This window comes from Homo sapiens, chromosome 8 (assembly GCF_000001405.40).
Source record: "Homo sapiens chromosome 8, GRCh38.p14 Primary Assembly".
NCBI lineage: Eukaryota > Metazoa > Chordata > Mammalia > Primates > Hominidae > Homo > Homo sapiens.
Genome location: NC_000008.11, coordinates 15,522,551 through 15,550,148, shown reverse-complemented (window position 1 = coordinate 15,550,148; position 27,598 = coordinate 15,522,551). Strand labels below are relative to the sequence as shown.

Sequence of the window (27,598 nt, the reverse complement as noted above, 5' to 3'; positions counted from 1 at the left end):
CTAATCGGCTATGATTACAGACATTGTATGGAAAAGCATTGTGAAAATCCCTGTCCTGTTCTGTTCCATTCTAATTACTGGTGCAGGTGTGAGCAGCCCCCAGTCACGTACCCCGTGCTTGCTCAATCGATCATGACCCTCTCACATGGATCCCCTTAGAGTTGTAAGCCCTTAAAGGTGACAGGAATTGCCCACTCGGGGAGCTCGGTTTTTGGAGATGTGAGTCTGCTGATGCTCCCAGCTGAATGAAGCCCTTTCCTTCTACAATTCAGTGTCTGAGGGGTTCTTGTCTGCGGCTCGTCCTGCTACACCATCATGGTAGTATTCAACCTTGATTCAGCCATCCTTCCTCATAAATGCTTCAAGAGGAAAAATGTACAGGAAACAATGGCAAAAAACAGCACAACCACTCCACTATTATGAGTACGAGAAAAACTTTTACTCCCCTTGAAAATTCTAAAAAACATGGACCAATCAGCATTCTCCCTTCCTTAAGGGAGGCCCCGTTTTCTTTTCCTTCAACTTAACTCACATGTTAACCAAAAGAATATTATTAAAATATAATATTCTAAAAATAAAAGTTAAATGACTCTTTGTATTTCATTTGGTATGCCTTTAAAATGAAAACACCTACCAATCAATTATAGGCACACACAAAAAAATAAGTAAGTACATTAGGCCGAGCATGGTGGCTCACGCCTGTAATCCCAGCACTTTGGGAGGCCGAGGCGGGCAGATCACGAGGTCAGGAGTTTGAGACCAGCCTGATCAACATGGTGAAACCCAGCCTCTACTAAAAATACAAAAATCAGCCAGATGTGGTGGCGTGCGCCTGTAATCCCAGCTCCTCAGGTGGCTGAGGCAGGAGAATCACTTGAATCCGGGAGGCAGGGGTTGCAATGAGCAGAGATAGCCCACTGCACTCCAGCCTGGGCGACAGAGCAAGACTCCGTCTCAAAAAATAAAATAAAATAAATAAGTACTTTTAAAAAGCATTCATATAGAAAACACATTGTATGCAGCAAATATACCTGAGGTATAAATTATTCTTCTACCCATTCCTTGGACTAACAATTTTTAAGGTACATATTAAATTTATTTCCAATCTTTTTCCTACAATTTTTTTGATTCACACATTATTTAACACAGAGCTTCAATCCACTCAATAAAAACACTTATTTCACTAAAAGAAACACATGGAAAATTCTCTTCCAAACATGCACAGATGCTTTTTAATAGTGATCACTGAGATTCAAGGATCAGGGAGGGCTACATGTACCTCAACAATCTCCTACTGATATTTAATATGTAATTGACAAATAGCGTTGTATAGCTAGTTATTAAAACATAGGGTAGAAGGAGAATTCTGGAGTAAAACTGTAAACATACAAGTTGTACAGTCATGGGCAAAATGCTTAATTCAACAATACCTCCCTTAGTAGAATGATTTTAGATACAAAATATCAGAAATCCAATTTGAAATGTGCTAAACAATAAGGAAGGTTATTAACTCACAAAGCAAGGAGTTGAGAGAGCAATTACAAGGCTAAGACATGTCATCAAGTACCCAGTTCTTCCCATTTTTCTATGCTGTTTTTTGCCCTCAGGCGTGTACTTTCGAGGTAATAAGATGGTTTCAGCAACCAAAGCATCACATTCTCATACACACACTCCAAAGACAGGATGAGAAAATTTCCCGTCCTTGTGTGCCCTCTGTAAAGAAGAAGGAAACTTTCCCAAAGCCATGTACAACTGTATCATATACTCACTTCTAAAACAATAATTTGCAAGATGCTGAAATAATGATGATCTTTAACTGATAGAAATTATTGCTTAGGGCTGGCAAGTGTCCCAGCTTCTCTCAATACTTAAACCAAACCAATCTACTGTCAGTAAAGACAAAAGTTAGACAAATAGTTTGTCACAACCATCAGGCAAAGATATTGTGAAAATTATATACAATTGTCTTCGTTCGTTTGGGCTGCTATAACAAATTACCATAAACTAGGGGGCAACGGAAATTTATTTCTCACAGGTCTGGGTGCTGGAAGTCCAAGATCAGAGTTCCAGCATGGTCGGGTTCTGGTGAAAGCTCCCTTCTGGACTGCAGATTGCTCACATTGCTATCTTCTCACAGAAGAAAAAACAATTAAAAATAAATAAAAAATAAAATAAAGTTAAAAATAACAGAAAAAAGTTAAAAATAAAGTGAATTATTTACTGGTATATTTATTATTATGAAAATGTTGGTTAATCGTGTAAAGATACCTACCAAGTTTGATATTTGAAAGTGAAAAATAAATTTTCTTTCCCCTTCATGTTACCATGAGAACTCAAGTACCCATAATGCAATGGAAAGGGCACTTCCTCACTTGGGAGAACGAGGACCAGAGAGCTCTCTGGGGTCCTATTTATAAGGGCACTAATCTAATTCATGAGGGCGGCACCCCTGAGGACCTATCACTTCCCAAAGGCCCCACCTCCTAATACTTTCTCACTCAAAGTTAGGATTTCAACCTATAAATTTTGTGGGAACATAAACATTCAATCTACGACAACAATCTAACTAAGTCAAATGCCTAGTATCCTGTCTGCTTGTTGCTTGTTTTATTTTTATTTTCCTGATATAATTTAAGCCTTATTATCGACCACCAAGTTCATTAAATTCAGTAAGTTATACTAAGGTATTTCATTCAATTTAGTATTTAATATGAATAGCAAAAAGATTTCACAATTTATGACCTTTAGTTTTACTGTAAAACTCCTAGAAACTAACTTGGCAATGGTTTGCTGTTTCCAAGCAGAGAAAACTCCGTACCAAAATATTTCCAAAAGTTGAGTCAAATCACAATGACAACCATGTTATGCCATTTCTAAAAATTATACTTCTAAAATCACAAATATTTCCATTAAATAAAATCAGTGCTACAACTTATTTAACCTGTACTAAAGTGCCCTTTCCATTACATTATAGGTACTTGAGTTCTCATGGTAACATCAAGGGGAAAGAAAATTTATTTTTCACCTTCAAATATCAAACTTGGTAGGTATCTTTACATGATTAACCAAAATTTTAATAATAATAAATATACCATAAATAATTCACTATATTTTTAACTTTTTTCTGTTCATTAAATGACAACAAGATGCTATTCTATCTTAGACTTTTATAACAGATTTCAAATCACTCTCTAAACTTACTGTTGACCTTGTGCCTTCCAACATTAAAAAGAAATAGAGACAGGCCAACTGGGAGGCAGGCAGGCAGGCAGGCAAACAGATACCAACTACCATGAAAAAAATTATTCTTCTAGGCCAGGTGCAGTGGCTCATGCCTGTAATCCCAGCACTTTGGGGAGGCCGAGACGGGCAGATCACCTGAGGTCGGGAGTTACAGACCAGCCTGACCAACATGGAGAAACCCTGTCTCTACTAAAAATACGAAATTAGCCAGGCATGGTGGCGTATGCCTGTAATCCCAGCTACTCGGGAGGCTGAGGCAGGGGGATTGCTTGAACCCAGGAGGCAGAGGTTGCAGTGAGCCAAGTTTGCGCCATTGCACTCCAGCCTGGGCAACAAGAGCAAAACTCTGTCTCCCAAAAGAAAAAAGAAAAAATTATTCTTCTGAATAACATCTTTGAAGCCTTAATATTCAATCTATTTATATATGTCTTACTTATCTATGTAAAAAAAACAGTAATACTTCTTGTAAAATAGTCCATGTACAACTCCCCAAGAAATTATGTGAAGCCAGCATCCCTGTGTACTATCTGCAAAATACAGGGTAAGAACTACAAAGCTGTATTATACCGGCAAGTGATTAGATAAAAACTGATGTGCCAGAATGTTAAAATTTGTTTTCCATAAAACAGCAATGAGAAAACACATGGGCCAGATGTGGCGAAGGAAGGATCAAGAGTTCCCTTTCAGACATGCTCAGTTTGAGAAGCTGCAGAAATCTTGCCCAAAAGATAGAAATAAAGACTGGATAGAGACCAGGAGAAATATCCATTTGTTACACACATACACACATGCAAATATGTGCATACACACACTGTTATATAACAAATAAACCTTTGTTTATGTACTTGTTTTCCAGCTGGGGAACACATTATTCCTACACTTAACCAAAAGTAAATTTTCTATCCTGGTAGGATTAGCATGATACTCCAGGAGGAATTCTTATGGAGATGAGCAATTTATAGTCTGATATGCCAAATATCAGAGATATCTGATAGTCTGAGATAGTCTGACATGCCAAATAAACGCTGAAGATCACTGAAATAATCTACAGCAGTCACAGGCATAACAGACCACACTCACATCTAAAATCGATGAATATGTAGGGCTAAAGAGGGAAATAATGAAAAAGTAAATGCAGCAAAAGGTTAAGAGTTGATTACTCTTTAGCTTGAGTTATGTTTCCACTCTTTCCCCTTCTCTGTGCCCTATGTGTGGAAGAGGGCACATATATGGGACTAAACATGCTGGTGGTGCATGTGGAGAAAAATACCCTGAAAATGTTCTCTTTTGACCAAGCTCCTATCTCTTACGTGGACAGACAATTCCTCATGGGTTTCTAACACAACTTGCTAATGCAGGGACTGACTGACTTGTTCTGGACCATCTTTTCAAGGATATTTGCATATAGCACATAGTCAAAGAAGACAGAGTCCCCCTCCAGAAAAATGAGTGTTTACTTTTGAGTTTAATAAAGATAATGTCTCCCTTTAGAGAAGAGGTCAAAGAAGTGTACTGCCCATTTTTAAAGACCTTGGTTTCTTAAATGCAAGGTTCCTCTCCTGCAGTGTAATTCACTACATGAGTGGGCATCACCTAGACCCCCTCATGTTGCTCAATGTGAACTGAAGCTCAAGGAACCAGTACAAATGCTGGGTAATAAACTATCTATTGCTGTGGACATTAGTTGCTTTCAAGGAAGAAATATTTAATAGTTATGACAGTAATACTGACCACCAAGATAGATGGTCCAGTTATAACTCAGCCTCTAACTGTACGACATCAGGCATATGACAAACTCTCTGAATTTTAATTTCCTTGTTTTAAAATATAACACCTACATCTTAGGTATTATGTATACATGTGTGTAACACATAATACGTATGTAACATGTAAAATATAGAACCATATGTACATAAAGACCATTCTATTGCTATAATAAACTATCCTTCATCTGTGACACAAGAATCCCATGTCTTCTGCCATCATCCATGACACTATGGCATTCCTGACAAGCAGCTTTGGCTATTTCCAATCACGCTTCAAGGGGTGGTCATACATACAATCTAACCTAAGTGAAATCACATTGCCTGCACCTATATATTCTGTGCATATATGCGTACATATCAATGCATAACTACCATGATTTCCTGTGTTATCACTGCAAACTTTTTCTTCCACTTAAGTTCTCTGCTTAAAGGTAACATCCATTGCTTACCTCCCTCCTCTCCCCTTTTATCATTTGCTAAGATAGTAAAGTCTCTGTTTCACAGCTGTGCCACGAAAACTAACTGGATATTATACATCCCAATATAAAATGTACTTAAAAACATTAATGACATATAGAAGTTATGTCAAAGGCAATTGAAATATGTTTTATTTAGTCAAACAATTGATCGCTTAGAAAACATGAGCTCTTCAATTTTTCATATTGCATATTCATTATTACCTACATATCATGGCCTATTAGCTACTCACATTCATTGCAGATAAGATAAATTAATTATTATAACAGCTGCTTTTGATGATGGCAAAGTCAATAAGTGTACTGGAAATAATTACAGAATTGGAGCTCTTTTCACATTATCAGAAGAGGTCATTATAAATTAAAACAATTCTAAATGAAGCTGATTAACTGATAAGTGTTAATGAAGTTAGAAAGAGAGAAACTGTCAAAATAAAAGAAACACAAGATGCACTAGATAGGCAAATGATACACTACTAAAAAGCCAAAGTCTCCCAGAAACTCACATCACTTAACATCAGTGAGGATTCAAAAATCAGTTTTTAATGACTATATTCAATGTAATTAAGAAAAGTGACTATACAAATTTCCAATCTTCTTTGCCTATTCACTTAACTCTCTCAACCACATTCTCCAACAGGGAATATAACAAAACATTGTTTTTAATGAATGAAAATGTCTTCACGAAGAAGCATATGTGTATGTGTACAAACATATACATAATACATACACACACACACACACACACACACAAATCCATGGGATATCACCAAGTCTTCTATGATACCAAATCTCTTCCTGGGAAATTTTCAAACAACGTAAGAGAATTTGGAATTCTCGGTGTTTCATGATAAGCAATAGACTATTCCACAGACCATATAATTTATTATTATAAAGTTAGTTTCTTTAGCAAAAAAAAAAAACCAATTCAAAAAAATCTTACCGCATTTCAGGATCTCATTACACTAATGCTTTCATTTAAATGAGGAATACATAGTAACAGCTACCACTTAGTGACCATTTATTATATCCTACGCATTGCACTAAGCATTTTATATACAGTCTTTATATACATATAGTTATATATTTTACATGTTACATACATGTATACATAATACCTGAGATATGGGTATTATATTTATATTTTAAAGCAAGCAAACTAAAATGCAGAGAGTTTGTCGTTTGCCTGATGTCATAAAATTAGAGGCTGAATTGTAACTTGACCATCTATCTGTCTGACTTAAAAATCCATCCATGGTGGTATTACTGTCATAACTACTAAATATTACTTCCTTTAAATCAACTAATGTCCTTTCCTGATTGCAGGCTCAACTTAAGACTTCAGTTTGGCTTCCCCTCTAGAAGGAAGAAAAACACTGTTCATGCTAAATCAACTACTCTGGTACATATGTCAATAATATTTATTATATTAATAGTAAATTAACTTTCAACTGCTACACTTCCAGGTTCCATTGTGCCAAATCTTATCATAGGCATCAGGTTTTAAAGTCAGCTAGACAGAAAGAGACCACATACTGTCAAAATAACCCTGGGCTATCACTAGGAAAATACCACATTGGTGACCACACTTTCCAATATAGCGTGTTTCCCTTCCAATATTGGAAGAGATCACAGTTTGTGAACTTAGTGAGTACCAGATACGGAATGGCCTGTATTTCAGAGATACGCATGCTTATTGAGTAAAGTATCAGAACACCAAGTATTTAACAAACTATAGAAATGATCCCTGAAAGTACAGTCTTGAAAACATCAACTATTTAAGCTCTTATTTTGCTCTTCTTTTCTTCAGTAAAATATACATACACTGTAATACTGTCATACAGTGAAATCAAGTGCTCCTACTTAGGAGAAATAAAACTAATTTGCAAGAAAAACTTTTTTAATCCTCAACAATGTTCTCCCTAATTTTTCATTTCAAAAATATATTTCGAGAAAAAATTTTAATAGAAACATGTTGCTGTAATTTAGATTTAATTATACTAAATCCACAAATGTTTTCACATATTAAAGTCATCTTATTATTGGAGATACTCAGATGCTGTAAACATGTACACTTTTTAGATTTTTTTTTTCCCCTTGTAAACGAAAAACAAAAATGTAAGCACCCTCCGACCTCTGCCCCAGCCATCTGAAAGGGCCCCTCTTCTCCACCGAGGGCATATCCCAAAGCTAACCTGAAAAACCACTTCAGGCGACGATGGGAAAAGTGAGCCAGACATGCTCATTATACCCTCCTTCTTCTTGGAATTCTGGAAAAGCCAACCAGCATTAACATCAACACAGACCTTAGGTCTGATAAGAAACATTTACAATCTATTCTCTCTGAAGTCTGCCACCTGGAGGCTTCATCTGGCTAATAAAACCATGGTCTCCACATTCCTTTCTATTAATAACAATTCTTTCAACCAATTGCCAATCAGAAAATTTTTAAATCTACCTATGACCTGGATGCCCCTCCCCCTTTGAGTTGTCCCACCCTTCCAGATCAAACCAATGTAGACCTTACATGTATTGATCAATGTATTATGTCTCTCTAAAATGTATAAAAGCCAGCTGTACCCTGACCACCTTGGGCACCTGCCATCAGGACCTCCAGAGGCTGTGTCACCAGTGCATCCTTAACACTGGCAAAAAAAAAAAAATTGATTAAGGTCAGTCTTAAAATACTTTGGGGTTCACACCCTTCAAATGAAAATTGGCGTGGTCCTAGGGATCGTCCTAGGAGATAAAACATCACAATTTCCATGGAGTTCTTCATCATCTTTTATTGCCCTTTGCTTTGGTAATCCACAAAAAAAACTGTCTACTTTTTCTTCACTCTTCTACCTTTCTCGTGAACTCCTAAATCTAAAACTCTTGGAATATGGTATACAAATACCAAGTGCTAAAAAAAATCATTAATTTATATTTGTAAATACAATTTCAGTTTAACAGTGGTTCTCTAAATCCCTTAGCAGAACTTCACCAATAATTTCATATGACCTACTTTCATGTTAAAATTTAAAAGCTGAAGAGAGGTACATTAGTTAAAATTGAACACACAATATTTGTTTCAGACTAAGAATAAAGAGAAAGGGAAACAATCACTCTGCATATGAGGGTATTTTTTCACTGTCTCTACCCAGCTATTAAAATTTTGTTAATATCTTAAACCCAATTCAGATTTTGAGCCCTGTGTAGGTGTACAACTTAACCAGGAAAAACTATCTTCAATTATGTAAGCAGATAACTCTCACCAAAATGGTCCACAATTAGAAACCCTAGTCACATTCCCGAAATAACTATTTTTGCTGAAGCAGCTAGATCAACTATCCATGATGGATAATTAGAACTTACAAACACTCCACCTACTTTAAATACAACCAGTCACTTCAAATCTCAACCTTTTCAAAGTTAATGGTGGATTAAGATTGAAATCAGATTGAATGAACTTCAGAAATAAATCCACATAAAATAAATGGCAGGTTATTTTCACAAGTATACACTGAGTTCAACGTAAAGTAAACATACAGGATAACTTAAAACACACTCTCAATATGTTCTGTTGTACTTGCACAAAATAAAAAATGCAAGCTTATTCTCACAAGTATACACCGAGTTCAACATAAACAAAAATAAACATACAGTGTAACTTAAAACACACTCTGCACAGGTTCTGTTGCTTCTTGAAATGGGTAATGAAGGGAGCAGAGTAAGAAAATAAGGAAAACATATTTCCTGCAGGCTTATAAATACTTCCAAAGGGTATTTTCACATCCAACACACCCCTTTTAGTGGCACCATTGCTCTAAGCTGGGCTTCCAGCTGGGAATAAAGGCGCCCTGGGTCTGAAAGGTGTGAGGTGCTCAGAAGCAGTCAAGAACACGCTTTGCCGTCGTTTTTCAAGTCAGAACCCTGCTAACTCCACGTCCCGGAAACGCCCCAGGGCCTCCCACCCTCGCGGCTCCCGCCCCAGCGCCGGCATCGCCCACGCCGGCGACCAGGCTGCCTAGCAACACGGCAGGGCTGCCTGGCAACGCGGCCCACCCTGGCCCGCCCCCGCCCACAGGGGAAGGCCAAGGGGATCCATTCTACCTCCTTTTTCTTCTGTCCTCCCCCGAGCTGGATGCAGAGCAGCAGCAGCAGGAGAAGGAAGGGAAAGCTCCCGGTGGGCAGGTACCGCAGCCGCCGCCCCGCTTGCCTACGGCGTGAAGGAGCGCCCCGGGCCCCCATCGCGGCAGGGCAGTGTCTCCTCCACGCGCGGTAGCCGTGCGCGCCCAGCTCCTACCGCGCACCACGCCTGCCCGGCCAGCCTCCGGGAGCCCGCTGGCTGGGCCCTCCGGGATGGCAGCGGCTTTGCGAGGGACCCGGGCCGCGGCCGAGGACGCAGAGGAGGAGACTGACAGAGCATCCGGTTCACCGGGAGAAGACCTGGAAAGGCGCGGGATGGGGGCAGGAAGTGGGCGTGGCGAGGGAGCCAGGCTTCGGGGGCGCGGCGTGCGCTCCCGCCCGGAGCTTGCCTTTCCCGGACCAGCGCTGAGGAGAGGAGTGGTCCTTTGGCCCTGGGACCTCAATCTGAGGCCATCCTGCTACTGAACCCAATTACTGGGTAGTCCAGCACTTTACCTGGGGCCTAGCACAGAAAGACCTGAATGCCTTCTTGGATGATGAAGGGGAAGCTTTGGGGAATGACAACCTGGCCCCTGCGGTCCCCAGCAATCTCTATTCCCATTGAGATCATTATTAGGAACACAGCTCTTCTCCTTCAGAGCCCTGGGAAACCATCTAACTCCAGAGTCCCCCGATGCACAGAAGCCGCCCCACAACTTCACAACTGTTCCTTCCAGCCCCACTGGAAGGCCTGAGGCACAACCTAGACTCCACTTCATTCAATGACTCATTCAGCATCCATGGAGTGCATAAGTACAGAGCACCGTACTAGCTACTTTTAATATAAAAACGAATAGACTTACTTCAATTTCTATTCTATGAATATTTTAAGAACCATAGCAGACTGGACATGGTGGCTCATGCCTGTAATCCCAGCACTTTGGGAGGCTGAGGCAGGTGGCTCACCTGAGGTCAGGAGTTCAAGACCAGCCTGCCGTAACATGGGGAAACCCCATTTCTACTAAAAATACAAAAAGTAGCCGGGCATGGTGGAGCGCCTTGCAGTTCCTCTACTTGGGAGGCTGAGGCAGGAGAATGGCATAAACCCGGGAGGCAGAGGTTGCAGTGAGCCGAGATCACTCCACTGCACTCCAGCCTGGGAGACAGAATGAGACTCTGTCTCAAAAAAAAAAAAAAAAAAAAAAAAAGAACCATAGCAGCAGACTGTATGTTGAACGTTTGATATGGGCCTGATCCGTTCTAATGCATCATGGTTTTTATTACTCTAGTATCTAGAGATTTCTTCACTTGTGCCATGAACACCTTTGGTAATGTGATAAAACCTGTAGACGCCTTCTTAAAATAGCACATATTTCTAAACGCATGAAATTAAATACATAGTATTAGCCAGGCACGGTGGCTCACACCTGTAAACCCAATGCTTTGGGAGACCTATGCAGGAGGCTTGTGTCCAAGAGTTGGAGAGCAGCCTGGGCAAGATAGTGAGACCTTGTCTTTACGAAAAAAAAAAAAATTAACAGCTGGGTATGGTGGGGAGTACTTGTAGTCCTAGCTATTCCAAGACTGAGGCTGGAAGGATCACTAGAGCCCAGGAGTTTGAGGTTACAGTGAGTTCCGATCATGCTACAGCACTCCAGCCTGGGAGACAGAGCAAAACCCTGTCTCCAAAAATATATACAGAATATAAAAATATTATATATATAATACTTAAGGAATATATACGTATAATTGTTCAAGATATCTGCAACAACTTACTGAGTATGAAAATAATTTCTGTAGGAAACAAAGTTGTAGGTACTGATAATACTACTGTGGTTTGTTGCCTGCCTTTATAATTCAAAGAAACGAAACTGTTGTGAGGTTAATAGACATAAAGTTACGATTTTTTCAATACAAAGTTCACAGATGCTGAAATTTCATGGACTCCAGATTAAGAACGCTTGCTCCACAACAACCCTATCAACTAGGTTCCACTGTTAACGATTTTCAGATAAAGAAATTAAGGCCCAGAAAAAATTTGAACATTGACAGTCTGGCTCTACAGTCATGCTTATGCTACGATGCCTTTGTTAAAGGAGTTTACAAATATATATCACTTTTCTGTATCGCAAGCTTTTGATTTCCCACTATTATGTGAACATTTTGCCTGAATTATCACTCCTGTTAAAAACTTTAGACAAAATAAACTTTACACCTTATTTCAGCAAACAACAATTCATAAATCTGCAGCACTCTGAACCAGAAGTGTTCAGAAAGCTCAGCTCCAGTGGCCTGAGAGCAAGCTTCAATAGACTAAACATAAAAACAAAGTAAGGAAATTACCTAATTGGCTACAGCTACGTTTGCCTTATTTGGTCATGGTGTAATAAGGCATTTACCTATATGGCTGTGGTCTGATGGGAGGTCCCTAGTTGTATAACCAGTCATCCTGTTGGCTGTTTGTGATTGCCTGCGGCTGGTGGGTTTTAATAAGTCAGTTACAAGAACTGTTTCCAAGATAAGCTCCTATGTGCGTACATAAGAGCTCCACTTACACAACCACCCCAGGCTAATTGCCTCTTGCGTATTTTTGCTTTAACACTCCTAAACAATGGCTCCTGGCTGTTTCCTTGAGACATAAAAATAGCCTCAACTTTTGTCTGTTTGGAGACAAGTAAATTTATTATCTTTATCAGTAAAATATTGACATCTAGATATACTCAACATAATCACAACTCATCATCTTTCCCTTTCTCTCCCCAACTTGTGGTAATTTCTTTATTGTAAGCAATGGTACTTCAATCCTTCTAATTACCAATTTTCAGAGCCTCAAAGCTGTCTTCCATTTTCCCATCCTCCCCAAACATGCTGCCTTTATATTCAGTTTCCAAGTTACGCTCCCTCCACAGGGTCCTAGGGATTTGTTTTCTGTCTCCCATTTTGTAACTCTAGCATTCATTAGAAACACATGAGATGTCATTATCAGTTGACCCTCCTTCCCTGACTTAGGTTGATGACAAGAGTCAAACTCTGTAAAATGTTTGAAGAGATTTATTCTGAGCCAAATATGAGTGACCTTGGCCAGTGACACAGCCTCAGGAGGTCCTGAGAACATGTGCCCGAGGTGGTCGGGGTGCAGCTTGGTTTTATATATTTTAGAGAGGCATGAGACATCAATCAAATACATTTAAGAAATGCATTGGTTTCGTTCAGAAAGGCAGGACGACTTAAAGTGGGGTGGAGGGGAGCTTCCAGGCTATGGATAAAATTAAACATTTTCTGACTGACGATTGGTGGAGTTTATCTGAAAACCTGGGATCAGTGGAAAGGAATGTTTAGGTTAAGGTAAAGGATTATGGAGACCAAGTTTTATTGTGCAGAGCAATCTCTCAGACAGACTTCAGAGAGAGAGAGAGCAGGTTGTAACATGTTTCTTAAGAGACCTAAAAGGGTGCCTGGCTCTTAGTTGATTATCTTACTGGATCTGCAAAGAAAGGAAGAAAAACAAAGGGGAAAGGGGATTCTGTATAGAATGTGGATTTTTCCCACAAGAGACTTTGCAGGGCAATTTCAAGGTATGGCAAGGATATATTTTTTTTTCCTTGTCTCATACTATTATGCCAGAGTCAGAATGAAAAGTAAGTCATGATATACAGGGTCAAATAAAATCCATCTGATGAGAATTTATGGTTTGTAGGGCATGACTCCCCAGACACCTTAGAAGGAATTTGGGCAAGATAGAAAATCAGAGCTTAGTCCTCACTTAAAATCTCACCAACCTCCCATACAGGCATAATGCAAGACTCCTTAATCCTGCCTTCCTGCATTCTTTTTTTTTTTTTTTTTTTTTTTTTTTTTTTTTTTTTTTTTTTGAGACGGAATCTTGCTCTGTCACCCAGGCTGGCGTGCAGTGGCACAATCTCAGCTCACTGCAACCTCCGCCTCCCAGGTTCAAGCTCTTCTCCTGCCTCAGCCTCCCGAGTAGCTGGGAGTATAGGCACCCGCCACCACGCCCGGCTAATTTTTGTGTTTTCAGTACAGATAGGGTTTCACCATGTTGTCCAGGCTGGTCTCGTACTACTGACCTCAGGTGATCCACCCACCTCGGCATCCCAAAGTGCTGGGATTACAGGCGTGAGCCACTGCGCCCAGTCCTCTTGCATTCTTTTCTTGGTAAAGTGTCTGGAGTGATCCTTTTAATACATAAATCAGTGTAAAGTATTATCTCTGTCCTCACCAGCAAATGCAAAATCTTCCATGCCCTCAGGACTTTACATTACCTTCTACCTGGCAACCTTTCCTAACATCATTTCCTATTTTTCCTCTGCTTTCTCATGCTGCTCCAGCAAGGCTAGCTGTCTTGCTTTCCCAAATATGCCGTGCAGACTCTGTCTCTACACTTTGTACTGCTGTTCCCTTTGTTGGAACCCTTTTTGCCTAGATCAGTGGTGTCCAATCTTTTGTATTCCCTGGGGCACACTGGAAGGAGAAGTGTTGTGGGCCACATATAAAATACAGTTACAAACACTAATGATAGCTGATGAGCTTTAAAAAAGTTGCAAAAAAACTCATGTTTTCAAAAAGTTTATGAATTTGTATTGGGCTGCATTCAAGGCCGTCCTGGGTTACATGCAACCCGCAGGCCACGAGTTGGACAAGTTTGACCATGATAGATGTTCACGAGGTGTATTTCATCACTTTATTCAGGTCAAGGCTCTGATCTCCCAACACGTCATCTCCTAGTTTCCCAAACCTCCCCTTCTTAAAACTCCTTACCCTTGACACACACACTCCTTAACTTTTTATAGTACTGCTACTATCACTTCCTGACATGCTATTGTTTCATTTATTTCTAGTCTTTCCCCGTTAGGATGCAAACTCCATGGGACAGAGGGTATGTATTCATACTGTCTAGAATAGCGCTTGCTTTATCTTTTCAATAGCATCCATCACTAGCTGACTCAAAGTCATCCCCCTGTTCACCTGACACAAATGCATATCTGATTGCTTCCTCTGCCCTATAATTGTTTGTCTTTTCCCATTAGAATGTAAGCTCTAGGACGGTAGAAACTTTGTTTTCTGCACCTTTTAGTCCACACTATCCAGAATACAGCACTTGTTGAATGAGTAGATGAATCCACCCATTCTGTTTATTCCCTAAAGCACAGCACTAATCATGTCATTCTCCTTACTCCAAAGATTGTCAGTGACACTCTACTAGGTTCAAAAGGAGGTCCAAACTCTTGAAAGAGATTTACGACTAACCCAAATTCTTTATCCTTGCTTTAAAACATAAGCCTTCAAACTGGAGTGCACAAAGACCTTCCAAGAACTATATAGTCTCAATGGTTTTACAAGAATTAATTTCCAGAATCTAACCTGCTATATATCATTCTATTTATTTGAATATGCTTTTATATTTTTAAAAAGTTATCATACAAACAGTGATAATTTACTTAACACATGAAACCAATTTCAGAAATGTTAAAGCAAAATAATATGGCCTGAGAAGGACTCCATACTCCTATATTTGAGTCCTTGTGGATGAACTGTAACCTAGCTTAATAGACAAAATTGAAAACCTAACTTAATAGTATGCCTGTAACAACAGCTGAGTATTGGCCAATCCCAGCGGCCATACTTCAACCACTCACAGACTGCTGAATGTTCAAACTGCGTTCAAGTAAGCCAAACACTGAGCTGTAACCAATCACTGTTTATGTACCTCACTTCTGATTCCTGTACGTCACTTTACCTTTTTTGTCTATACATTTGTTCTGACCATGAGGCACCCCTGAGGTCTCTGTCAATCTGCTGTGATTCTGGAGGCTGCTGGATTCACGAATCGTTCATTGCTCAATTAAACTCCTTTAAATTTAATTTGGCTGAAGTTTTTTTTTTTTTTTTTTTAAAGACCGAGTCTCGCTCTGTCACCTAGGCTGGAGTGCAGTGGCGCGATCTCGGCCACTGGCAAGCTCCGCCTCCCAGGTTCATGCCATTCTCCTGCCTCAGCCTCCCGAGTAGCTGGGACTACAGGAGCCCACCACCAAGCCCGGCTAATTTTTTGTATTTTTAGTACAGACGGGGTTTCACCGTGTTAGTTTGGATGGTCTCGATCTTCTGACCTTGTGATCTGCCCGCCTCGGCCTCCCAAAGTGCTGGGATTACAGGTGTGCGTCACCGCGCCCAGCCCGGCTAAAGTTTTTATCAGATATTTTAACCATGAGAAATTTAACCCTAGTTTTGTATAAACCTAAATATTGTGCTGATATTATTTCTATAGTATGAAAGTAAATTCTACGGACTCTTTAAATAATGCCAAAAGTTATTATTTTATCTTGCAACTAAGATCTTTTCATTTTATCTCATAATTATAGTAATAAGGCTGTGAATGGAAAATAAATCTTGAGGCCCCAAACTCACTAAACCAAAGGGAAAAGTCAAACTGGGAACTAGGTCACACACCTGCCACTCATGTTGATCCTGACAAAGCAAGAACATCACTATCTTGGACAAGCACTGCCATTCTAAAGTTTCCCTTGATCAAAAACCGCCTAAATCCAACCCAAAGGCCATCTGCGTAATGGCTAATGTCAGCCATCACCATAAACCACAAATGACACCTCCAACCAGAAACTTTCCAACCATGAGATAAACCCCTCCCTGACCACAGACATGCCAGCCCCAAGAAACCTCCCCACTGACTGGAGAGATGTCAGCCCCAAGATAACCTCCCATCTGGCCAGAGACATTTCAACCCCTCAGTAAACTTCTCAACACAGAAACATTCAGAGCCTTCTCTCGCCCTGAAACCTTAAATACTCTTAGCCTGTAAGAGACAGTGCTCCTGACTGAAGCTGGCCAGAAGCCCCTCTCAGGTTTTTTCTCCAAAATCAACCTACCTTTTACTGTTGAACTGCTTTTTATGTTTCTCTCTTCTTTAACTCTTACAGTTCCAAAATAAGACAGCAACAAAGATAAAAAGCTACATACCTCCCTCACAAGGTGTCCACAGGGAAATTCCTTGTAGACCTTAAGATCTTTACCCTAAAACAGTTCGGTTGAATTTCACCCTAGCAATATAAATTGATAGTCTATCTTCACAGGTATTAGACAAAGGACAGAACTCAAAGTCATCCCTCTGTTCACCTGAGACAAATGGATATCTGATTGCTTCCTCTGCCCTATATTTAGGTTATGTAAAAATGCAGATTTACTTAGCTAGACAACAGCATAAGTGACTATTCCTCTACCCCTCTGTATTAATCAATTTTCATGCTGCTGATAAAGATATACCCAAGACCGGGAAGAAAAAGAGGTTTAATGGACTTACAGTTCCATGTGGCTGCGGAGGCCTCACAATTATGGCAGAAGGAGGAGCAAGTCACATCTTACGTGGATGGTGGCACGTAAAGAAAGAGAACTGGTACAGGGAAACTCCCATTTTTAAAACTATCAAATCGGTCTGGGCGTGGTGGCTCATACCTGTAATCCCAGCACTCTGGGAGGCCAAGGCAGGGGAACACCAAGGTCAGGAGTTCAAGACCAGCCTGGGCAGCATGGCAAAACCTTGTCTCTACTAAAAATACAAAAATTAGCTGGGCATGGTGACAGGCACCTGTAATCCCGGCTACTCAAGAAGTGGAGGCAGGAGAATCTCTAGAACCTGGGAGGTGGAGGTTGCAGTGAGCGGAGATCGTGCCATTGCACTCCAGCCTGGGCAACAAGAGCGAAACTGTCTCTAAAAACCATCAGATCTCATAAGACTTATTCATTATCATGAGAACAGCACAGGAAAGACCTGCCCCCGTGAATCAGTTTTCTCCCACTGGGTCCCACCCACAACAAATGGTAATTATGGGAGCTACAGATGAGATTTGGGTGGGGACACAGAACCAAACCATATCACCCCCTCACATGTAAATTGTGAAAAGCTAATCAAAGACTCAGAAGAATACAAACTTTTGTCTCTTATCTGCCCACACCCTTTTTAAACTTCTTACTCTCTCCCCAGTACCTGCCCTTTTTACTTTAAATATTGAGGATCCCAGACCGTCTTCAGAAAAACACGGACCATAGTTTTTCCTGTGGATCTATGGTCTTTCCAGGGCTTATCTTAACTTTTGGCAAATAAACCTCCTAAAATGATTGAGACTTGCCTCATTTTCTTTGATTTACATAAGGTACTTCTCAGCCTCCACAAATGTAAAGTAAATGAAACACACCATTTTTCTTTTTTTAAACAATTTGAATGTTTATGCTAGTTATTCCCAGTGTTCATGTATATCAAGAAAATGAATTTTTTGATCTGTTATTCTTTAAAATTTCCCAAGTCCCAGAAAAAGAAAGGCAGAGGAACAGAAACAGCAAAAGTAAGTAAAAAGGAGCCAAGTTCAGATAAATATTAAATTATCAGTATACTAAGCTAGTTATCTCCTATCTGCAAGGAAAAGAAAAAAAACTTAGGTGCATTTGACATATATACACACAAAAAAGAGTAAGTCACTGACAATTTTATCAAGCCATATAATTAAGAAGCCAGGGATTATTGAACCCTGAAGCAAAATGGAAGTGGCATCTTCTACCTGAAATAAAATAATTTCTTTTATAGACAAGACAATTTCATGACAGTTTCTTTCCTTTTTCTTTGATGGTAACTATCAAATGAACATCTTTCTAATGTCAAAGTTTCCCCAAGTAGTCAGTACAATTCCAGATTATCTCTAGGAAATATCACCAGTCAGAAGGTAAGTATACCGTATAATTGAGAAAACATGGAGGAAATGTTACAGGCAGAAGGTATCCAAGTTACATAGCAGCAAAATACATTAACAGTGGAAGTTATCTGAGTTACCTGTGGCAAATTCATACAGGTCTGCAACAACTTCAATTCTTGCCTTCTCAGAAGAAAGGATGAGGGGCATTCAACTGAGGGGCATAAGGCAGAAGAAGAGACCAAGGCAAGTTTTAAGGCAGGAGTGAACGTTTATTAAAAAGCTTTAGGCTGGGCACAGAGGCTCACGCCTGTAATCCCAGCACTTTGGGAGGCCGAGGCAGGTGGATCACCTGAGGTCAGGAGTTCGAGACCAGCCTGGCCAACGTGGCGAAACCCTGTCTCTACTAAAAATACAAAAATTAGCCAGGCACTGTGGCGGGTGCCTGTAATCCCAGCTATGCGGGAGGCTGAGGCAGGAGAATCGCTTTAACCCAGGAGATGGAGGTTGCAATGACCACCATTGTACTCCAGCCTGGGAGACAGAGCAAGACTGTGTCTCTAAATAAATAAATAAATAGCTTTAGAGCAGGAATGAAAGCAAAGGAAAGTACACCTGGGAGAGGCCCAGGCAGGCAGCTTGGAGGTCAAATCCCCCTTTGACTTTGAACCTGGGATTTTATTTGTTGGCCTACTTCTGGCAACTTGAGCTCCTTTCCCTTGATTCTTCCCTTAGGGTAAGCTGCCCGCATGCACAGCGGCCTACTAGTGCCTAGCAGGTGAGCACACACAGTGTGTTTACTGGAGTTATACACATGCGGACCTGAGGCTTTCTTCCCTTTTCCAGTGGAATGCCCCCAGAAGGTCATACTGAAGCAGTGTTTTCTGGGGTGACACCCGAGGTTCGTCATCACATGCCAAGAAGATTAAGGACACAGACACACAAGGACTGAGTTTACGGTCAGGAGCTGCTCAGTTCTTTCTCACATTGGGCATAACCATCTTTATTTACTAATTTTAAAAAGTCAGAAGACTCTTGTGAGGATGAAATAAAACAATACATATAAAAAACTTATTACAAACCTCAGAATAGATACACACTTAATATGTGCTAGTGTTATTATGAGCATTTACTATTACATTGAAAATATGTTTGTTTCCGTCCTGGTGAATGATAAACACTTTGAATAGAGGAACTATGATTTACTTGTCTTTTTAATCCCTACTCTAATCATTAGACTGTTTAGAAGCATGAGCCCTGGAGCTGCATTCCTTGCTCTGTCTCTTACTAGCTGTGTGACCTCAGGCAGATTATTTCACATCTCTGTGCTCAGTTTCTTTATTTGTAAAATGAGGATAATAATGGTACCATGAAGATGAAACAAGTGAATACATGCGAAGTCTTTAGCATCTAACACATTATAAATACTACATATTAACTCCCATTATGATAGTAGCTTTTCTAGAAATATTTAACCAAATTTCACACATCAACTTATCCACTATGCCAGACACTAGGGTAAACACAGGAGTAGGGGCAAGAAAGAAATGATAGGCAAAGTCCTCATCTGAGAAAATGCACAGATATTCAGTGTGTTTCCTTTAGAGAAGCAAGCAGATCAGTGACTTGTCAAACTGTCCTTATAGCTGCTGTGTGGACAACAGACTACCAGAGAGCAAAGATGTAAGCAGAGACTTCAGCCCCATATTCCAGGTACTGTATATGATGTAATACAGGAGTGTAAAAAACTTTTTCGGCCGGGCGCGGTGGCTCACGCCTGTAATCCCAGCACTTTGGGAGGCCGAGGCGGGTGGATCACGAGGTCAGGAGATCGAGACCATCCTGGCTAACAAGGTGAAACCCCGTCTCTACTAAAAATACAAAAAATTAGCCGGGCGCCTGTAGTCCCAGCTACTCGGGAGGCTGAGGCAGGAGAATGGCGTGAACCCAGGAAGCGGAGCTTGCAGTGAGCCGAGATTGCGCCATTGCAGTCCGCAGTCCGGCCTGGGCAACAGAGCGAGACTCCGTCTCAAAAAAAAAAAAAAAAAAAACTTTTTCACAGAATTACTATACATATGGCAACCTGTATTCTACAGAAGACATTATAAGAGGAAAATCCCTAAATGCTCCAATAACACAGTTTGAAAACCAATGGCTGGAAATATTAGGCATTTATATTTAATCCTAGCCATTTTTCTAAACATATTGATACGTTAGATAGTACATCTAAGTAATGTTAGTATTTTTCAAACAGTTGGCTATTTAAAGCAAATTTTCTATAATGACTGTTTTCTAAAAATATTCTAAAGTGAAACTGATTTTGTATATTACGATACATTTCATTCAATTATTTTTAAACTGTATCTTCAGTGAAATTTCAAATTGCTATGTCTATGTAATCAACAGTAATTAAAGTATTGTAATAATATTGATAAACCTCAACTTAATGCCATTTTCCATATTAAAAACTTTGCCCTTTTTTCATATAATTTAATAGCATTTATCAAAAGCCTTTGCATATGATCTTTTCATTATTGTTTGATTTCTGCCCTAGAATTTCTATCAAAGCCAATGTAAATTTATATCTGAAACACAGTATTAGGGAATTGCTTAGTAAAAGATTTACTAAATGGAATTATGGTACTGAACAGCATGCACCTGTGCGATTGCATTTTAGAACTTGTGTTTGTGCTTCGGATATTTAAAGAAAAAAACAGCATATGATTTGGTTATATTGAACATTTGGTTATCTCAAGCAAACAGTATGTCACTTACTTGTGTAGCATGTTCTATGTATCAGGAAAGGTCAGTGGAGTAGGTGGTAGGGCTAAGAAATAAAATTTCAAAGAACTGTTCATTGGTTATTAACTGCGGTGACAAAGGAGTAATGAAAGAGTAAGGTAAAGGTCATTATTGTCTAAATTCTGATATATCAGATGCTCTGAGGTCAAAGTTCAAAGTCTGACTGCTTTTTGGCATAATGCATTCAGAGTTTTCCTAGACTCACTAAGAAAATTCAAGGTATCTTAATGAAATTATACAGAGGGAAGGTAGGGATATGGACAAATGTTTGAAGCTATTTAATTCAGGCAATCTGTAGCAATTTAAAAAAAATTAAAGAAAGAATCCAAGAGGGTCACAGGAGTATGCAGGGAGTATCTCTGAGATTCTGGAAACAAGTGAAGAAGTGTTCTACAGAAGCCAGGAAAACACTGGAAAGGTAGCCGTGAAGCCAGGTGAAAAGCAGAGATAATTTTGCTATCCTTGTTAGGTCAAACAAATTGTGTGAACTTGGACAGATATGAGTTTGCTGCAGAATACTTCACAGTATATTTGAAGTTGTGGTTCTCATGGTTTAAAAATGCTGTAATTTGTTAGGGTACAATTGACCGATTCAACTTACTTGGCTTCCTTTCAATTATTCTCTTTTGAATTATATAAAAAGTTTATATCGAACTTTTAAAATTAATGAGTAAACTATATACTGAATCTTCAAATACACAGCTTTCTTCCTAATTCATTTCCTGAACTCATCAAATGAGGTAATCACTTGCATGCCAGTAATTTTGTTTCACTGAACAAATGTTCATTTTAATTTTAACCTTGTCATTTCCAAGGAAAGAAATGATGGAAAGTTTTTTTTTCAAACACCACAAATGCTGAGCTGAGTATTTTTTATAGTACCAAAATTGTGCTTAATTGAAATTATAATTAATCATTATGTTTTATTGGTAAAGGATTACAACAAATCCAGCTGGTTTCCTGTAAGAGTTCATCATCTATTTCAGGGACTAAATTCTTTATAAGGAAATATGTCAAAGAATATTTATCTGTGCTAAAACCAGGACTTACCAAGAAGCTCTATTTAAAGTACACCAAATTATTAGCTAATGGAATTTCATCTATATTGGTTTTATTACTAAAAGAAAATTGTTTTACTCATTAAAAAGTGTATATAAGTGAATATGGCTAGAGGAAGAGGAGAATGTATACGGAATGTTTAAAAATGACAGAAAAAGCATTTTAAGTGAAGAGCTTATTTTGTCTATTGATAATCAGTAACTAGTGCTTAGTTACTGTATACAGTGCCTTTCCCACTGAAAATAAAGTGAGCTTCAGAAGTATTCGAGCTGTAGGCCTGGTGCAGTGGCTCACTCCTATAATCCTAGGACTTTGGGAGGCCAACATGGGAGGTTCCCTTGAGGCCAGGCATTTCAGAACAGCCTGGTCAACACAGTAAGACCATAGCTCTCAAAAAAATAAAAATCAAAGTTCAAATTAATTTTATAAATACAAAAATATTTTTTAAAAAGAAATATTCAAGGCCGGGCACAGTGACTCACATCTGTAATCCCAGCACTTTGGGAGGCCGGGGCAGGTGGATCACGTACGGTCAGGAGTTTGAGACCAGCCTGGACAGCATAGCAAAACCCCATCTCTACTAAAAATATAAAAATTAGCTGGGTGTGGTGCCGGGCACCTGTAATCCCAGCTACTAGGGAGGTGGAGGAAGAAGAATCACTTAAACCTGGGAGGCGGAGGTTGTAGTGAGCCAAGATTGTTCCACTATACTCCAGCCTGGGTGACAGAGTGAGACTCTGTCTCTAAATAAATAAATAAATAAGCATTCAAGCTGCACATAGAAAAGAATTCATAATGTGTGAAGTAACAATTTAAATCAACAAGAACTATTGTTTTCTTTTAAGTGGGACAGCTAAGCAGTGCACGCCAATATGCAAATTATAGTAAACATTTTGTTACCTGGCATGGTTGAAAACGAAGAATTCTGATTAATCAATTATTCAAACTTTTCTATTTTTCATGTACTTTGCTATGAATTCACAACAAAATTTGAATATGACAAAAAATACACTTAATCCTTTATCCTTTAGTATTTATGATCTAGAAACCTCTTCAACATCAAATGGTGATTTCTAATCATTATGGGTACTTTATCTTTTCTTCTAATCCTTGCAGGGGGCTGTTTTTCTGAAAGCCACCCCTAGTCTCCCTCAACACTGAGACTTCAAACGAAGCAACTTTAGTACCGGTCCTTATCATTTTATATGTGGACTCTGTATTAGTCTGTTATCATGCTGCTGATGAACACATACCTGAGACTGGGTAACTTATAAAGAAAAAGAGGTTCAATGGACTCACAGTTCCACGTAACTGGAGAGGCCTCACAATCATGGCAGAAGGCGAAAGGCACATTTTACATGGCGGCAGACGAGAGAATGAGAGCCAAGAGAAAGGGGAAACCCATTATAAAACGATAAGATCTCCTGAGACTTATTCACCACCAGGAGAACAGTATGGGGGAAACCTGCCCCCACCATTCAATTATCTCCCACTGGGTCCCTCCCACAATGTGTGGGAATTGTTGGAGCTACAGTTCAAGATGCGATTTGGGTAGGAACACAGCAAAATCATATCACACTCCTACGAGAAAATCTTTACTAGTTTCCCTCTGTATAGAATGTAATCATTATCAAGATGAATTTCCCTAGCCAGGCGCGGTGGCTCACGCCTGTAATCCAGCACTTTGGGAGGCCGAGGCGGGCAGATCACGAGGTCAGGAGATCGAGACCACCCTGGCTAACATGATAAAACCCCGTCTCTACTAAAAAATACAAAAAATTAGCCGGCCGTGATGGCGGGCGCCTGTAGTCACAGCTACTCGGGAGGCTGAGGCAGAAGAATGGCGGGAACCCTGGAGGCGGAGCTTGCAGTGAGCCGAGATGGTGCCACTGCACTCCAGCCTGGACGACAAAGGGAGACCCTGTCTCAAAAAAAAAAGATGAATCTCCCACAAGTGGAATTACATTTATATCACCCTACTACCACCTGCTTGAAAACCCTCACTGTCTCCCTACAGCCAAAATAATTAAATTTAAACACCAGTTCTGCTTCCCAGTTTTTGTCTTCCCAGCCTGCCTCTTGTTTCTTTTCCTACGTACTTTGTGACTACTTTTTCCCCCATTACGGCCTAACCGATCAGGCTCTTTACCCCAGCACACACTTTTGCACCTGTGTCTCTGCTGTTGCTGGCTTCCTGACTTAGAGGTCATTTCCATTCTACATTGCTAACATCCCCTTTATCACTGGAGACCCAGAGCAAGTCTCTGTTTCTCCAAAAGTCTTCAAAGAATCCTCCAACCACCATGAGCTCTGTCTTTCTGGATTATCTGCCTAGCCCTGTCACGGGAAAATGAGTGATCTACTACAGCAGTTCTCAAACTTTTTTGTTCTCAGGACCACTTTACACTCTTGAAAATTAATGAGGAGCCAAAGAGCTTTTGTTTATGTGAGACATACCTATCAGTATTTGCCATATTATACATTAAAACTGAGAACATTGAAGCAACTTATTTAAAAATAATAGTAGGACTATTGCTTAACATAAGTAACATTTTTATTTAAAACAAGCTTGTTAGAATTTAACAGAATCCAAACTTGTTCTACTCACCTTACCACAGCCAATAAAGTCAAGAAACAAGGAGCTGGAGCAAGAAAAGAAACTTTGTCTCAGAGAGCCAGCAAACCAGAAAGATGGCACTAGCATCCTGAAGTACTATCATAGTGTTTGTAGGCTTTGTACAGTTTTACTTAGGTATAGAGGAAAAGAAGGGGATAGAGATCAAGAAGTGGCCAAGAAAGGCATATATACGTGGGCACCAGCAGGGAGTATAGGAAAAGTTGTGAAATCTCTTTGTTTCTGGTTAATGGTCTCCTTGTACCTTTACATCTTTAAGAAAACCTAGTATACATACTTTCCCTTTTACCTTGAGAGTTAGTCTCAACAGTTGCAGGCTTTTGTTCCTTTGTTATCTTTCAGTGTTCTAAAATTATTCTAACGTCTGGGCAAGCATGAGCAGAGGCCAGAGGCCCCCTTTTAGTCTAAAATTTAGTTAACTGTGTTAGTCTTTTACCATTTCACTGTTACAGAAGAGTGACAGTGTTTTACATTTTTGCCAATGTCTGGCTTAATAAAAGACAACTGTATTCTGGGATCTCTTTCTATATTTAATCTGTTGTAATATCACATATTATAGGGTGTCTGCAAAACTTCACTATGCGCTCATGAGAGAACGACAGTGAAAAGAGTTTTACCAGAGCATGAACTTTAGGTTTGGGTGTCTAAAAATAGGTTCTCCATTGGGTCTTTTTTTATCTTTAGCTACCTGCAAAATATAAAAGGAACAAGGAAGTCACACATGGTCACAATTATCCAAGCACCAATTACGCTCTTTGAGACTTTAAATCTCAAATAAACTTCCTCCAAATATTAATATTGGATATCATTTCCACATGGTCTATTATTTATTTAAGAAAAAAATATAGGCTTTAATATCAATTTACGCAAAGCCTCTGAGTTTATGGAAATGTAAGACGTTATTACTGTTATAAGTTCACACTATTCCAAACTCAAAGGTAAATGAATTTAGGAATTATTTACATCACAATTCCTTTCCATTAGACATGGTGAGTGAAAATTAAGTCTATGAATTATCCCAAATTATTCACTGCTATTATGGCTGGTTGGTTTGTAGATATATTGAAATATATTATATAAATAGGCTTATTATTTTTAAAAACTGCAAATTAACTCCTATTTAATATTTGTATTTTTAAGAATTCACAACAAAATATGCAGTATGATCACAACCGTTAACATATGCAAAAAAACAGTATTAGGATTGTGGGCTAGTTTAGTATAAAAAAATGCATCTAAATCAAATGCAAACCAAACACATTCTGATTTCTATTTTTTTTTTTTTTTGAGACGGAGTCACTCTGTCTGTTGCCAAGCTGGAGTGCAGTGGCGCAATCTCAGGTCACTGCAACCTGCACCTTCTGGGTTCAAGTGATTCTCCTGCCTCAGCCTCCCGAGTAGATGGGACTACAGGTGCGCGCCACCACCCCCAGCTAATTTTTGTATTGCTAGTAGACACGGGGTTTCACCATGTTGGCGAGGATGGTCTCGATTTCTTGACCTCATGATCTGCCTGCCTCGGCCTTTCAAAGTGCTGGGATTACAGGCGTAAGCCTCCGCGCCCTGCCTCTATTTTTACTTTCTAATTTATCTCATTTCCTCTCCTAAGAACTACTTTATATATATATATATATACACACACACACACACACACACACACACACACACACACACACACATATATATATATATATATATATATATGTTTTTAAAGGATTTTTAAGCCAATTATTTGGGAAGTGAAATATTTGGAAAGTCGGCAAGGCATTTATTATTTAAGCAAAAATTATTTAACATGCTATTATTAGAAAACACAATACCTTGATGGGTGATCTTAGAATTTGGAATAAGCAGAATAAATAGTGTTGGTCCTCAAAGAGGTTATGCATTTTTGGAAGACAAATCAAACTCCTATGAAAACCATGTAAGGAGAAAGTAAAAACACAAAGGATACTGCAAAATGTACATCACATAGTGGGAAATGGTATATACCTCCATTATAGCGCTCTCAGAGATCCCTGTGCCGCTTCTCATCTTACACCCTCACTCCCCTGCCTTTCTTCAGCCATATTTTTGGTGACCACTTCCTTCAGGCTTTACACAGATGCATTGGGCAATACCTCAACTCAGACGATCTCACTCACTGGTGCAGTGGATTAATGCCATCATGCAACCATTGACCATTAGGAGAGGAGAACAAATGGAAAGAAACTTTCCTACGGCATCATGCTGGCAGATGCTTTATTGACTTAGTAGCACTTACCCATGACTTGTGATGGAACAGCCTGGAAAAGGTGCTGGAGCTGGTATAGTTCTCAGTCTTACAGGATTGAGCATCAGTCTCCTGTGACACCTTACTTAACGATGCATCTTCGCATTGGTTTTCAATTTCTCCCTTTTTACTCCCACTGCGCCTCTCTCTGCTCCTTGAAATCACTTCTCAAATAAACCATCTGCACTTAAGGACTGACATAGCACATTTGTGTAGACAAGCTTGAGAATTTATACCATCAAAATTCTTGAGCCTGTCAGAGGTAAATTCCTCACTAGAGAAAAGGAGCTTCCTTTTGCCTGGAGATATCACAAAAGCCCTGAGTGAAGCCAGAGCTTCACAAGATGATGCTTTTCCTCCTCACTGCCTCCTATCCTGTCTCCTGGATTGGATTTCTGTAGAGATGGAGTAGGGAAACAGCCCCTATCTTGGGAGGAATAGCTTACCCACCAAAGTATTCTCAATCTGGTCAGTGGAACACATGTGGGAGTGGATCGTGACTACTGTCTCAAGGTGAAAAA

At 39.6% G+C, this 27,598-nt stretch overlaps 1 protein-coding gene across 32 annotated transcripts in view, besides 1 other annotated feature; it reads right to left on the bottom strand.

The window, feature by feature from the left end:
- TUSC3 (tumor suppressor candidate 3) overlaps positions 1 to 27,598 on the bottom strand; it is a 434,904-nt gene that overhangs the window by 301,943 nt on the left and 105,363 nt on the right. For 27 of the 32 annotated variants that reach the window (NR_182196.1, NR_182195.1, NR_182199.1 and 24 more), the window contains exon 1: positions 9,581 to 9,886. The exons of 4 other annotated variants lie outside the window; for them this stretch is intronic. Coding sequence is in view for 21 of the 28 variants with exons in the window: in NM_001413685.1 (NP_001400614.1) it covers positions 9,581 to 9,718 (138 nt within the window). In the remaining 7 variants the exon portion in view is untranslated. Of the gene's footprint in view, positions 1 to 9,580; positions 10,063 to 27,598 lie in introns of those variants that run through there. One more of the 32 variants, NM_178234.2, reaches the window with a different exon arrangement.
- Positions 16,159 to 16,372: a silencer, noted in NCBI's record as "fragment chr8:15391286-15391499 (GRCh37/hg19 assembly coordinates)". NCBI's record gives its function as "represses an EF-1alpha promoter that drives an FKBP-Casp9 reporter gene in an ReSE screen in HepG2 liver carcinoma cells {active_cell/tissue: HepG2}" and the evidence as "EXISTENCE:reporter gene assay evidence [ECO:0000049][PMID:32094911]".